Raw genomic sequence first — 13,328 nt, 5'->3', positions numbered from 1 at the left:
CTACCATGTGCATTATTTTTCTTGTATTAGTCTCATACACACAATCCTTTTTCCTTATTTGGACTGCATCTTTGTCAGGCACTTTTTATTTCAGTTAAACTAGTTCAATTTCTGTCCTCTGGTCTAACCTACATTTCTACAACCATTGTTCTTAAAGGTCCGCAGGTTATCCTTGTCTCAAAGAAAAAGTAATGCTCTTCATTTCCTACTTCATGATATTTTACCAGATTAAGAAATGACTTCTCATTTGAGTTACATCTCTCAGTGCCTCTTCTACTGTTGTCCTCCAGAGCATGCAAAATTCAAACTGTTCTACCTTTTAAATAGCTCCAAATATCTCAATTTCCTCACTGAGCTTTCTCAGGCTAATCAAAAAGAACAGCTCCTCCCGTTGGCTGTTAAAATTGGAAGTTTTTTTGGCTACTTTCTCAGTTTTCTACCCCCTTCCCTCAACTTACTCTTGTCTCCTATTACTAATTTTTAAATTGCATGTAACAATTTATTGTCTCTTCACAAAATAGTATACTATTATTCCACGTCTATATATTCCTGCCTATATCCTATTCATCCTTCAGATGTCTTCTTAAATATTTCTTTCTCAGGAAAACCTTCTTTATTCTTCCCCTCACCTAAGACTAGCTGCTATATTCTCCCACCATGCCCTGCAATTCTCTTTTGTAACATTAACAACACCTATCCCTGTCCATCAATCTAGTTTATAAGCCCCATAATGTTTTATTCACTGCTGTATTCTAAGTACCTTGCATAGGGACTGACAAATAACAGAAATTTAATAAAATATCTGACAACTAGTCGATTGATTTATTTAAGAACTGTCTTTGAATACCGTAAATGTTTACCAAGCATGGAACAAATCTATGGAGTTATCTTCACAGTCAATTAGATACTTGAAAAAAATAGATAATTGATATGTGTTTTCAATAGAGACAATTATAATAATAAACTTAGGTCAACATTTAGAACATGCCATGAGTTCAAATTACTCTTATCTATCAGTAATTAAATGCTTACATTGAAAAAATAATAATCCAAAGAACTATCTTAAAATCAGTGTATAAAATTCTATTGGAATTTATAGCATTCTAACACAGATTTAACTGCAATACTAAAAAACATTATTAGTCATTAGAGTAATATTTACATATATTACCTACCATATGTGACATTGTGATTTAACTCAGCTCTTCGTAAGGATTCATCAAGAACATCATACATTAATTCACTTGTCCTGTTTAAAAGATATTTTATTTGCAGTAGAATTATAGTATTCTAACCCAATAAAACAGTTTTTCAAACTTCTCTTTAAAACTGAGGATCTACAGAAGAGAAGTGAAAGAAATTCATTTTATGATGAAGTTATGGAAATTTCACTTCTTAAAAGGTTTGCTGTTTTTCATGAGCTTGAACTTCCTACTTTATCAAAGTTGACTAGTTAACCAATGAGATATATATGTCAATCAACTCTTTCCTCACTGTGCCTAGTTTATAAACCAAGTTTTTATTTGGTTGAACATACTATATTTTATAATTTTCTTTCAATAGAATATTTCTAAGTTACCATAGTAATACTTCATATATTCATATTATTTCAGATAGCATATTAACTGTATTTTACCCAGATACCATGAAAAAGTTTTCAAATACTAGTCTTTCCTTGAGTAGTAACTAGGTTCTTCAGAAAGAAAATTTTTACTTACATTTACATTAAATATAAAAAAAGATATTTTGTGGAATTAATAGGTTTGGACCATTCATATGTCATTATGGTCACTGATTACAGTAAGAATAACTGTGATGAGGAAGATACTGTGGGAAAAAAAAAGTGCATTAGTGCCCTAGCACTCTGCCTCCACGCTTGTTAGACAAATATCCTCTCCAAGAGGCCAATGTGAAAAACTATAGCTTCTTAGCTGGTATTTTGTATGTTTTACAAATTCAAAAAGCACTAATAGAAGAAAAAAAAAATACCAGCAACACAGGATACATACAGTGGTCTTGCAGAGAAACTGTGCCATAAAATAAATGAAAATATCAAAATAATTTGGGACTATATAAATTAATTACATCTTTCAGAAAATGTCTTTTTTTCCAAATATACAGCTAGAAAGTTCAATGTTAAGTGCATGTACTTTCATTCTGTCTTGACTGAAGTATAAATATCCAATAATTAAGAATCCAGAACCACATTCTAAAATCCTTCGTTTTATTGTGTAAGCATTTCTTTCTCAGAAGATAACCATACAGCAGACATTACCAATCCTTCCCTGCCCCCCAAAAAAAATTGGTAATATTATACCTAGATTATAGTCTAGTTCCTCAATTTAAAAAGCCAGTGTCTGGCATGAGTCTTAACCACATGAAATGAAGAAACATTTGTGAACAAGATCAAGATAAATCTTAATAAATCTAAGAAGCACAAAACTACAAAACACAAGAAAATATTCAAATAGATATAAAAGACCATAAATACAACAGACTTTTCCAGTAAATTGGTTTTTTCAATTAAATACTTTAGAATCCGGTTATAACTTTTTACTTTGCTACATTGAGCAATAATGTCCAACAAAATGTAAGATTTATGTTAAAATAAAATCTCATTAGAGTTGAGACAAAAAAGGAGAAAACATTCTAATGTTCCATAACATTATAAGAAAGTTCCACTCTATTAATAACTGAGCCTAATTACTGGTCACCTGAGTGCTGTGAAGGTAAGGACTAGCTTACTCATCTTTGTATATATGTATTATCCAAATTTATCCATGAAGGCAAGAAAAAGGAAGATAGTGAGTTAATGAATTTAATAAATTCACTAAATGCCTCCCAAGTTACTTCCTGATAACAATGGATGGCAGTAAGTCTTTTTTAGACCAATAAGATCTGATGCATTAATATAAAATTCATGATTTTAAAACATAAATTCCAGTAACTCCAACTAGAGCTCCACGTTAGGATAGGCTGGCATGATATAAAATAAAATATAATTAAGACAATCATTTCTAATGTGTGTACATGCTCCATCACCTTACGTTTTCACTGCAGGTTTCAATCAGTAGTTGAGATTCATAAACACAGAAAAAAGTAACACTATAATACCAACAGTGATGTAGCCCAATTAGTGCTAGTCAGGAGCTCACAGGCAAATGGATTCTGACCTTAAGTTGATTTCTAGAAGCAAAAGCCTGGAGAATGGTCCCTTTGTAAAGCTAGGCTAAAACATTAGAATACAAAGGTACCCTACTATATAAAAGGGAACAATATTCATAAAATCAGAACACTGATTAGCAAACATTTTCTTAAGACAGAAACATATCAGGAACTCTAGCCAAGGTCCTTGCTCTCAAGGGAACTAAAATCTCAAGGGGCTTGCTCTCAAGCAACTCGGAAATAGTTTTTAAAATAAAAATAATATGTAGGTGCACATGCAAATGCATACACACATGCACACACAGAGAATGAGAATGATAGAACAAATGAAAATAAATTGATGAATCTAGGTGCAGGATGTAAGGGAACTCCTTGTACTGTCCTTAGAACTTTGAAAGTGTCTAAGTTTGAAAAAGTAGGGCAAAATTGAGGCCGGGGCGGTGGCTCACGCCTGTCATCCCAGCACTTTAGGAGGCTGAGGCAGGGAGATCATCTGAGGTCAGGAGCTCGAGACCAGCCTGGCCAACATGGTGAAATCCATTTCTACTAAAAATACAAAAATTAGCCGGGCATGGTGGTGTGCGCCTGTAATCCCAGCTACTTGGGAAACTGAGGTGGGAAAATCTCTTGAATCCGGGAGGTGGAGGTTGCAGTGAGCTGAGATCGCGCCACTACACTCCAGCCTGGGCAACACAGCAAGACTTAGTCTCAAAAACAAAAAAAAAATGGCAAAATTGAAAGTATATATATATATAGTTGGAAAGATACACATGAGAAGTTTAAGTTATTGGCTAAAAGAATAATTCAGATAAATGAATTAAAAAGGTGAAGCACTCACACCCAACCAGAGCAAGGGTTGGCAAACTATAGCCCGCAGGCCTAATCTGGCCAAATGCCTGGTTTTGTATGGCTTCAAGCTAAGAAGAGATTTTACAGTTTGAAATAGTTGGAAAAAAAATTAAAAGAATAATACTTCATGATGTGCCGATTTGAGATTCAAGTTTTAATGTCCATAATGTTTATTTATGTTCTATCTGTGGCTGCTTTCATGCTGTAATAGCAGAGTCGAATAGATGCAAAAAACAACATATGGCCCACAAAGCCTAAAATATTTATTTATTTATTTATTATTATTATTTTTTGAGACAGAGTCTCGCTTTGTCACCCAGGCTGGAGTGCAGTGGCACAATCTCGGCTCACTGCAACCTACACCTCCTGGGTTCAAGTGATTCTCCTACCTCAGCCTCCCGAGTAGCTAGGATTACAGGCGCGCGCCACTGTGCCCAACTAATTTTTGTATTTTTAGTAGAGACGGGGTTTCACAATGTTGGTCAGGCTGGTCTCAAACTCCTGACCTTGTGATCCGCCACCTCAGCCTCCCAAGTGCTGGGATTACAGGCGTGAGCCACCATGCCCGGCCACCTAAAATATTTATTATCTGGCCCTTTGCAGAAAGTTTCCCAACCCCTGAACTAGAACAATTACGAAAGCATCACAGAGGAGATGGTGTTTCATGGGTACCTTTCATGATGGGTAAAATTAAGATAAGGAGAGAGCCAGGATTATCCCAGCAACCTGAAAGCATTTATGTGATTCTTACAATGGCTTCTTTTATCACTATTAAGCCAATTAAACATTGGAAGAATCTGGTTTATCATTAAACCTCTAGGTTACTAAAGTCTAAGCTTATCATCTGGTATGGGGGTCATTAAGCAAACTTACTGAAAATAGTTTACCTTTGATCATCTTTTCCTAGAAGTCCCAGTATTCTCAAGAGCTGAATTTGTAACCATGGTGCTGGCACACTGTGGTAATTGAATTCTACTGGGAGCTTTCCTCCAACTACTTGCTTCAAAATGGTTACAAAACTCCCAGTCAAGTCTTTATATCCAGATGAATTCTCCTACATCCCCCCGCAAAAAAAACTTTGTTAATAACGTCTTATTAAATAGAAATAGACCTAATTGAAATGTCATATAGAACCTGACTTAATACATACTTAAGTTTATGTTCACATTTAATGAAACAGTGCTCTAATATGTATAATATCTTCCATGATAAAATTCCTCTGGCTAACCAACCCAAAGCTGAATCATCCCAGAAAAGCTTCCATCACTCCCTACTTTTCCCCGTATACAGTTTAATCACATTTCAAAATTCTTATATCTTAGGTAGAATCCTTAATAGCCAATACCAGTAATTAAAACAAAAAGTGAAAAGAACTGGCATACTGCAAAAGGACAGTAATACCTCGGCTTTGGATGAAAATCAAGGCCTATTTGCAATCTCTGAACTCTGTTTCCAAAAGACTTCCCATGTAAATGAGTTAAATTCATTCTGGGGCCGGGCACAGTGGCTCACGCCAGTAATCCCAACACTTTGGGAGGATGAGGCGGGCGGATCACCTGAGGTTGGGAGTTCGAGACCAGCCTGACCAACATGGTGAAACCCTGGTTCTACTAAAAATACCAAATAAGCCGGGTGTGGTGGCACATGCCTGTAATCCCAGCTACTCGAGAGGCTGAGGCAGGAGAATCGCTTGAACCTGGGACGGGGAGGTTGTGGTGAGCTGAGATCATGCCATTGCACTCCAGCCTGGGCAACAAAAGCGAAACTCAATCTCAAAAAAAAAAAAGTCCCCAAAATCAGTGTGCCTGCCAATTAAAAATTAATTAGCCACACAGTATCTAAAAATATTTGTTTCTGAAGGAGTGTGCCTTGATTATGTATCTGAGTAATCTCTTGGACTGGGGAAATTATATCCACACTCCTTAAAAGGAACATTAGATTCTTTATTCTAATTTTTATTATGTATCAAGGGAAAATTTTTTGGAAGGGAAATAAAGCTCTTTCAAATTTTAGTAAATGTTAAGGAAAAAATAAAATTTAATATTGAACATTTATTTAAACTGTACTATTTTAGAACACGATACATAAAAAACAATATAACTTTAAATGAGTTCAATAGCATATTTTATTTTGTTATAGTAGGTGCCATGAAATCTGTTACAAATATGTATATTTGAACACAAATGGTTTCAGGCAATACACTAAGGATGAATTAGTATAAATCCACCATCGCCATTTAGAAAAGTGTTTTACCATAACATTCAACCCTCTTTCCTCATATGATACAGAATTAATACATGGAGTCAATACTACAATCTATAGCTTGCACAACCCCCGCTGGTTTTCCTCATTTCTATAAAATGTTATGCATCCCATGAAGTTATATAAAAGAGAATTACTGCTTGAAAAAACACAAATCTGCAAACTTAAGACACCTTCCACTGATACCATTTTTCCACACCTGTTTAGTAACATCAAAAAATTTTAGGCATTAAAAAAAAAAAAACTAATTCTGTAATGTGCCTACAACTCATGCTCTCAACAACTTGCAAAACTACTAATTCAAAGGTCAATAATAAAATTATAAAATGTTAACTAAGCATTTTACCAAAATATCTGTTTCTTTTTAATTCCATAATTGTATTTTTCTAATGGTAACTACTCAGTACTTGCTAAAATTTCCAACTTACCTTAATCATTCTAAGATATATATGCAAGGAGGCAGCCATGACCCCAACATCTCTGTCACAAAGTGCTTTCCGAAACTTAATATGAATATGTTGTACTTGATTAGGAGCAATGAGATGGAATTTGTATAATGCCAGAACAGCTTTTCTTCGTACAATCTCCCTGAAGACAAAAAATGAAATTTAAACAAGACAATCTGAATTCTCAAGTATTTACTTTGAAAGATTATAGGCCAGATGATTTCAAAATACTGGCTCATTACCTTAATTTACAAAGAAAGAGATAACTATACATTTGTGATTAATTTATTTATTCTAATATACCAAATTATAAAAAGTGGTTACCTCTAGGAAGTAAGGTCTCAAAACTTTAACTGCCCGTGTTATATATTTATCTAGTTAGGGAATTTTTTTTTGTAACAAGCATATATTACTTTTGAGATTAAAAAAAAAAAAACATGAAAAACAAATTTCTTAATTCTCTAATTCCATTTTTAAAAGACGTATCTCTAAAAATTGAAAAAAAAAGTCAACAGTAAGTTTAAGTAATAGGTAATTTCAGCTAGTAATATTAAAATCTTTTTATTAATATTAAAAATCTTTGGCCTGTAATCCCAGCACTTTGGGAGGCTGAGGTGGGTGGATCACTTGAGGCCAGGAGTTCAAAACCAGCCTGGCCAACATGGCGAAACCCTGTCTCTACTAAAAATACAAAAATTAGCCAGGTGTGGTGGTGCACACCTGTAGTTCCAGTTACTTGGGTGGCTGAGGCACAAGAATCGCTTGAACCTGGGAGGCAGAAGTTGCAGTGAGCCAAGGTTGTGCCACTGCACTCCAACCTGGTGACAGAGTAAGACTCAGTCTCAAATTAAAAAGGAAAGAAAAGAAAAAAAACTCGTTAACATTCTCACCCTAAAATAGTAGCTTTCTATGTTTCTTTTTTATATATATATATCACTGGATAGCAGACTCCAAATATTCTGGGGGACAGAGGGGAGGAATACAAGGACACACATGGAATAAAAAGATGTTATTCCTCTCTTTGCCCAGTTCATCTGTTTCAAAACCTCATGATAATAAAGAGAAAAGTATATACTAGTTTTGCACTTCATCTGTAGCAGATAACATCTAGCACACAGAAGCAAAAATAAAGAAATGCCATCCTATGTTCATGATGTAGTTTCCAAGGAAGCTTCTTCCTTGTTAGAAATTCTCTCTCTTGTCTATTTCTACATATCTGTTATTTGCAGACTATGCTGGCAGTGCTCAGAACAGCAGCAAACATCACAAAAGTGAAGTATTTACTTTTAGGGTTCCTTAACAGATATTTCTGTCGTAGAATCTCAAGACTGAGACTATTCAGTGCAATCCTTTGTGTTCCACTCAAGAACTCCTTTTATAAGATTCTTAATAAGTGGTCATACAAATTCCATTAATAAACAACTCTTATCTTCCTAGGCAAGCTATGCCATAACGGAAAACTCTTCACAAAAAAAAAAAGAAAAGAAAAGAAAGGCAGATTAATAACAGATTTACTGTTAGTATTAATACTGTGGTGAATGCAAGCCACGTCACAGTGTATTGCCATTGCGTGTTAACTGATATTAATTCTGGGGGAGAATAGGTAAATGAAGTGAGGAAAAAAAAAAAAAAAACTCTGAATAGGCCCAGGAGTTCACAGGCCTGGCCTCAAGTGGTGGTACTAACATAAGACGAGAGACCTAGATTCAGGCTCTGGGGTTGGTATGCTGAAATACAACCAGGGATTCAAAAGTTGAATTCAAGCCTTATTTCAAATATTCTTTGTGACATCTACTGGCTTACCTATAGCTCTGCCTCATATTCGTCAGCTCTTTACTCCAGAGCATGGGGCTGAGTATGGCCATAACTGCAAAAGCTGAGTTTCAAAAAGTCTAAACTCTAGCCAGGACTTGAAATTAGACTAAACACAAAGCAATAAAGAAAAAAATTGAAACGGGACCTTTCAATTCTCAGAAGGATTTCATACAAATGGTCAGTAAGTAAGGTCACCACAAAAGTAGTGGTAAGGAAAAGTTAAGCAAAAATATGCTGCTTTTATAATCAGATCACCTTATAAATCTCAAAAAAGCAAATATTTCCAATAATTAATTGTCCATAATCATCCTTCGTTCTAAACACAGATATGATATACAATACATAAAAAGTCTGAAAGACCTATGAAGTTATTCTGTAATTCTTAGTAAAAGCTATCATTTTAGCTGGAAGATTCATGATTCAATATTTCTTAAAGTATACAAGTTGGCCGGGCATGGTGGCTCACGCCTGTAAGCCCAGCACTTTGGGAGGCCAAGACAGGTGGATCACGAGGTCAGGAGTTCGAGACCAGCTTGGCCTATATGGTGAAACACTGTCTCTACTAAAACATTAGCCAGGCATAGTGGCGGGCGCCTGTAGTTCCAACTACTCAGGAGGCTGAGGCAGAAGAATAGCTTGAACCCGGGAGGCAGAGGTTGCAGTGAGCCAAGATCACACCACTGCACTCCAGCCTGGGCGACCGAGCAAGACTCCATCTCAAAAAAAAAAAAGAATACAAGCTATAAAACAACATTTTGCAATCTCAGAACATTAAAAATACTGATTTAAAGTATGTAAAATAAATGTTGTATGAGTAACAAAAAAATCTTCATCAAGAATATATAACTGACATACCATAATCACAATGATTGCAAACCTTTTCCAACTTTAAAAATTATGGGCCAGGCGCAGTGGCTCACATGTGTAATCTCAGCACTTTGGGAGGCCGAGGCAGGTGAATCACAAGGTCAGGAGTTCAAGATCAGCCGGGCCAAGATGGTGAAACCCTGCCTCCACTAAAAATACAAAAAATTAGCTGGGCATGGTGGCGTGTTCCTGTAATTCCAGCTACTCAGGAGGCTGAGGCAGAGAACTGCTTAAACCTGGGAGGTGGAGCGTGCAGTGAGCCGAGATCACTCCACCGCACTCCAGCCTAGGCAACAGAGTGAGACTCTGTCTCAAAAAAATTAATTAATTAATTAATTAAAATTATGACATAAAGGGGCTTGGTCAAAAACAAAATATTAATAATTCAAATACAGTGAAAAGTAAGTCAGTCTGATAAGGAGACAGTTAAGGAAATTTACAAGAGAAGATTAGCAAAATACTACAAAGTAAATTAAGCTTGGAAACATTCTGCTGTAAAATAGGATTAAAATGCTGTGGTTTTGATATAAAAAGCATCTTCCCGGGCCGGGCATGGTGGTTCACACCTGTAATCCCAGCACTTTGGGAGGCCGAGGCAGGTGGATCACCTGAGGTCAGGAGTTCGAGACCAGCCTGGCCAAACCCAGTTTCTATTAAAAAAAAAAAAAAAAATTAGTCGGGCATGGTGGCAGGCACCTGTAATCCTAGCTACATGGGAGGCTGAGGCAGGAGAATTGCTTGAACCCGGGAGGCAGAGGTTGCAGTGAGCCAAGTTCATGCCATTGCACTCCAGCCTGGACAACGGAGTGAGACTCTGTCTCAAAAAAAAAAAAAAAGCATCTTCCCACTACACTGAAGCTTTGCATTCACAACACTTGCACAATTTCCATATGTTTTTCATTATTTCACTTTATCCCCAAAACAACTTTGGTAGAACTAAGGAGCTTCAACCAACCCCATATAGCCAAGGAAAAACAAGACCACTGCTCATTAGTGGTAGAAATGGGAGGCAAGCCAAGGATTCCTGGATACTAGGCCTCACTGTCTCTTAGTCTAACTTTAGAAAGCTGTCTAACATTTCCCTAAACCCACATAAAAATAAAGATGATCCTATTGAAGATTTTTGTATTATTCCTAGCAGTCAAATAATCTCTATCCTGGTAGCACTGAAGTTGTAATAAATTTTCTAGCATAAACTTCTGTTTTGAAATATATGGCATAGATGCCTATCCCAAAAGAATTTACTTACTTAGAATGTTGAAGTTTATCTTCTATTAATGGAAGAACAGCTGGAATCATTTCGCAGGGGAAAATCTGGCTAACAACAGTCAGTGCCATACACACTTCTACTAGGTTAGTGCTCTGCAGATCCTGGCACAACATTAAGCAAAGAAAACATTTAGTGTAAATACTGAAACTAGGAATGGCAAATTCAACACTGTAATGGTCCTATATACTTAGTAATTTTGTGCTATTTATAATTAATTTGTACATCCAAACTTATGGCATATTTTATTGCAATGCTCCTATTTGTTTCATTTGCCTTAATAGAGTCAGTAGACAAATAAAGCCAAAAAGCAACTGATAGAAGAGGAAATTTTATCGCTGTTCTGAATCTAGCCAAAGTAGTCTCCTTTATTACAGCCTTTAAAACTTTTCTAAACCAATAATAAAACAATTTTATGAGTTTTTCTTATTAATCAACAATAATATGAATGTAAGTTTAAAAGGAAGTGATTCTGGAATATTCACAATAAAATGCACACATTCATATGTACTTATCTATCCATATGGTCTATAAAACTATTCTAATAGAACCTAAAAATATATTTTTTAAGTTTGGAAGAAATTTAAGCTACTAGTAACCTTAATATAGTATATGACTTAAAGGTCAGAAAATACTGTTCTCTCTCTCTATCAAAAAACTGACACAAGATAAAAAGCTCAACAACTCAATTACATCTCATTATCATTTTGATTTGGGAGTTTAACAGAAAATATTGTGAGTGAGGATTGTTTTTATTATCTCTACATTTCAGTTACTTGATTATATTCTATTCTTTTTTTAAATGACTTTTTAAATTTTAAAGACTTCATTTACCCAGTTTATATCTATATCCCTTTAGAACAGATCCTAGAAAAAAAGATAACAGCATGGAAAGTATACCTAAACTAACAACTTAGAGACTTGAACTTTAGTTCTAACTCTGTGTTTTAAAATGAAATTATAACAAGAAGAGCAGCAGCTACTACTTCACATAGTATTTCATTTAATCTTCACAACTCTGTAAGTTCTATTATTTAACTCCATTTTATAGATGCAGAAACTGATCTAAAAGATTCTTCTAAGCCCATTCTGCAAGCCCACTTTCTTCTAATCTCATCTAGTTGAATATGATCGAGGAGAAATATCAGGTGCTGACAAGAATTATGACTTCATATTAACCAACATACAATACAATACCTTTACAACTGTATTCACAAGGAGAAGCAATAATTCATGACTTTCATGTAGAAATAAGGAAACAGCCAAATAACCTATAAAAGTTGAGGGAAAAGTCTGATTACTAACTACCAAAAACAGACTTTTCACACGAAGTTAAACAAAGCAGTCCTGTAAGTATCAAAGATACCAGTTACAAGTAAACAGAAACACAAATTGCAAAATATAAGGTTAAAAACCTTCAGTAAGGAAGATTTCAGCTATTCTTCACCCTGAAATCTTCCAGAATTATGTATTTCATAGGATATTCCAGAAACGGAATAGACACTATGTGTATCAACTTAAAATCTTGTAAATGGCACTAAGAAGACATGCCTTCTATTTTTTGTGCAAATCTTTACATTATCAATCAAAGCATTCTCTATTTTATAATTGCTATTTTATAGCCAAATATATAATTCAAAAACTAATCACTATAATAAAAAAAACCCTAATCACTACAGTTAATAGTGAGTTACTAGCTCTTTGTACTGAGTGAGCTAGCCACCTAATGTCAACGCACATGATGTAAATCATATATTAAATATATTAAGCCACACACAATACCTTATTTTCTCAATTGAGGGAATAACAATTATTTAGGAAAGAAACACTGTCTGCCACATTAAATATACTCATTGGCTTAAATAAGCATTTTTATTGCAATAATATTAAAACATTTTTAAAGTACATTTTAACATTGAGGAAATATATTAACACTATAACAAATGCCATGTACATATAATCTAGATACTCCAAGGAATTTTCTCAGTCAGGCTTCACATTGATAATAACTAACACTTTAATTAGACAGTCACTATGGGTCAAGTACTTTATAAGCATTACTTCATTTAATCCTCATAACCACACAATGAGATAGGCCTTTTTATCCCTATATAATGAGACCCAAGACTGGGCGTGGTGGCTCACGCCTGTTATCCCAGCACTTTGGGAGGCCGAGGTGGGTGAATCACGAGGTTAGGAGATCGAGACCATCCTGGCTAACACGGTGAAACCCCGTCTCTACTAAAAATACAAAAAATTAGCCAGGCGTGGTGGCGGGCACCTGTAGTCCCAGCTACTCGGGAGGCTGAGGCAGGAGAATGGCATGAACCCAGGAGGCAGAGCTTGCAGTGAGCCAAGATCACGCCACTGCACTCCAGACCAGACGACAGAGCAAGACTCGGTCTCAAAAAAAAAAAAAGAGACCCAAAAAAAGGCAATTTCTCAAGGTCCAATCTATCACATGGTGGAGCCAGGACTCAAACCCAGACAGTTGAAGTCAGTCCATATTTTAAACCCCCATATTTTACTGCCTCTCCACATAGTCTATCTTGACCTGATTCCCTGACTCCATGCTCATTGTTTTTCGTTCTTCTCAATTCTTTCAGCCTTTTCATCAGGGATTCTAATGTTAACTATAACCATCATTACCCAGCATC

At 35.5% G+C, this 13,328-nt stretch overlaps 1 protein-coding gene across 7 annotated transcripts in view; it reads right to left on the bottom strand.

The window, feature by feature from the left end:
* Positions 1-13,328, bottom strand: part of AP4E1 (adaptor related protein complex 4 subunit epsilon 1) — a 98,404-nt gene that overhangs the window by 70,023 nt on the left and 15,053 nt on the right. For all 7 annotated transcript variants that reach the window (XM_005254264.5, NM_001252127.2, NM_007347.5 and 4 more), the window contains exons 4-8: positions 11,869-11,942; positions 10,654-10,775; positions 6,705-6,864; positions 4,902-5,068; positions 1,176-1,249 (exon numbers count right to left, since the gene is read on the bottom strand). In XM_005254264.5, the coding sequence (XP_005254321.1) occupies positions 1,176-1,249; positions 4,902-5,068; positions 6,705-6,864; positions 10,654-10,775; positions 11,869-11,942 (597 nt within the window). The remainder of the gene's footprint in view (positions 1-1,175; positions 1,250-4,901; positions 5,069-6,704; positions 6,865-10,653; positions 10,776-11,868; positions 11,943-13,328) is intronic.

This window comes from Homo sapiens, chromosome 15, assembly GCF_000001405.40.
Source record: "Homo sapiens chromosome 15, GRCh38.p14 Primary Assembly".
Classification (NCBI taxonomy): Eukaryota; Metazoa; Chordata; class Mammalia; order Primates; family Hominidae; genus Homo; species Homo sapiens.
The sequence above is the reverse complement of the archived record's forward strand: the minus strand, read 5'-3'. Positions and strand labels throughout refer to the sequence as shown.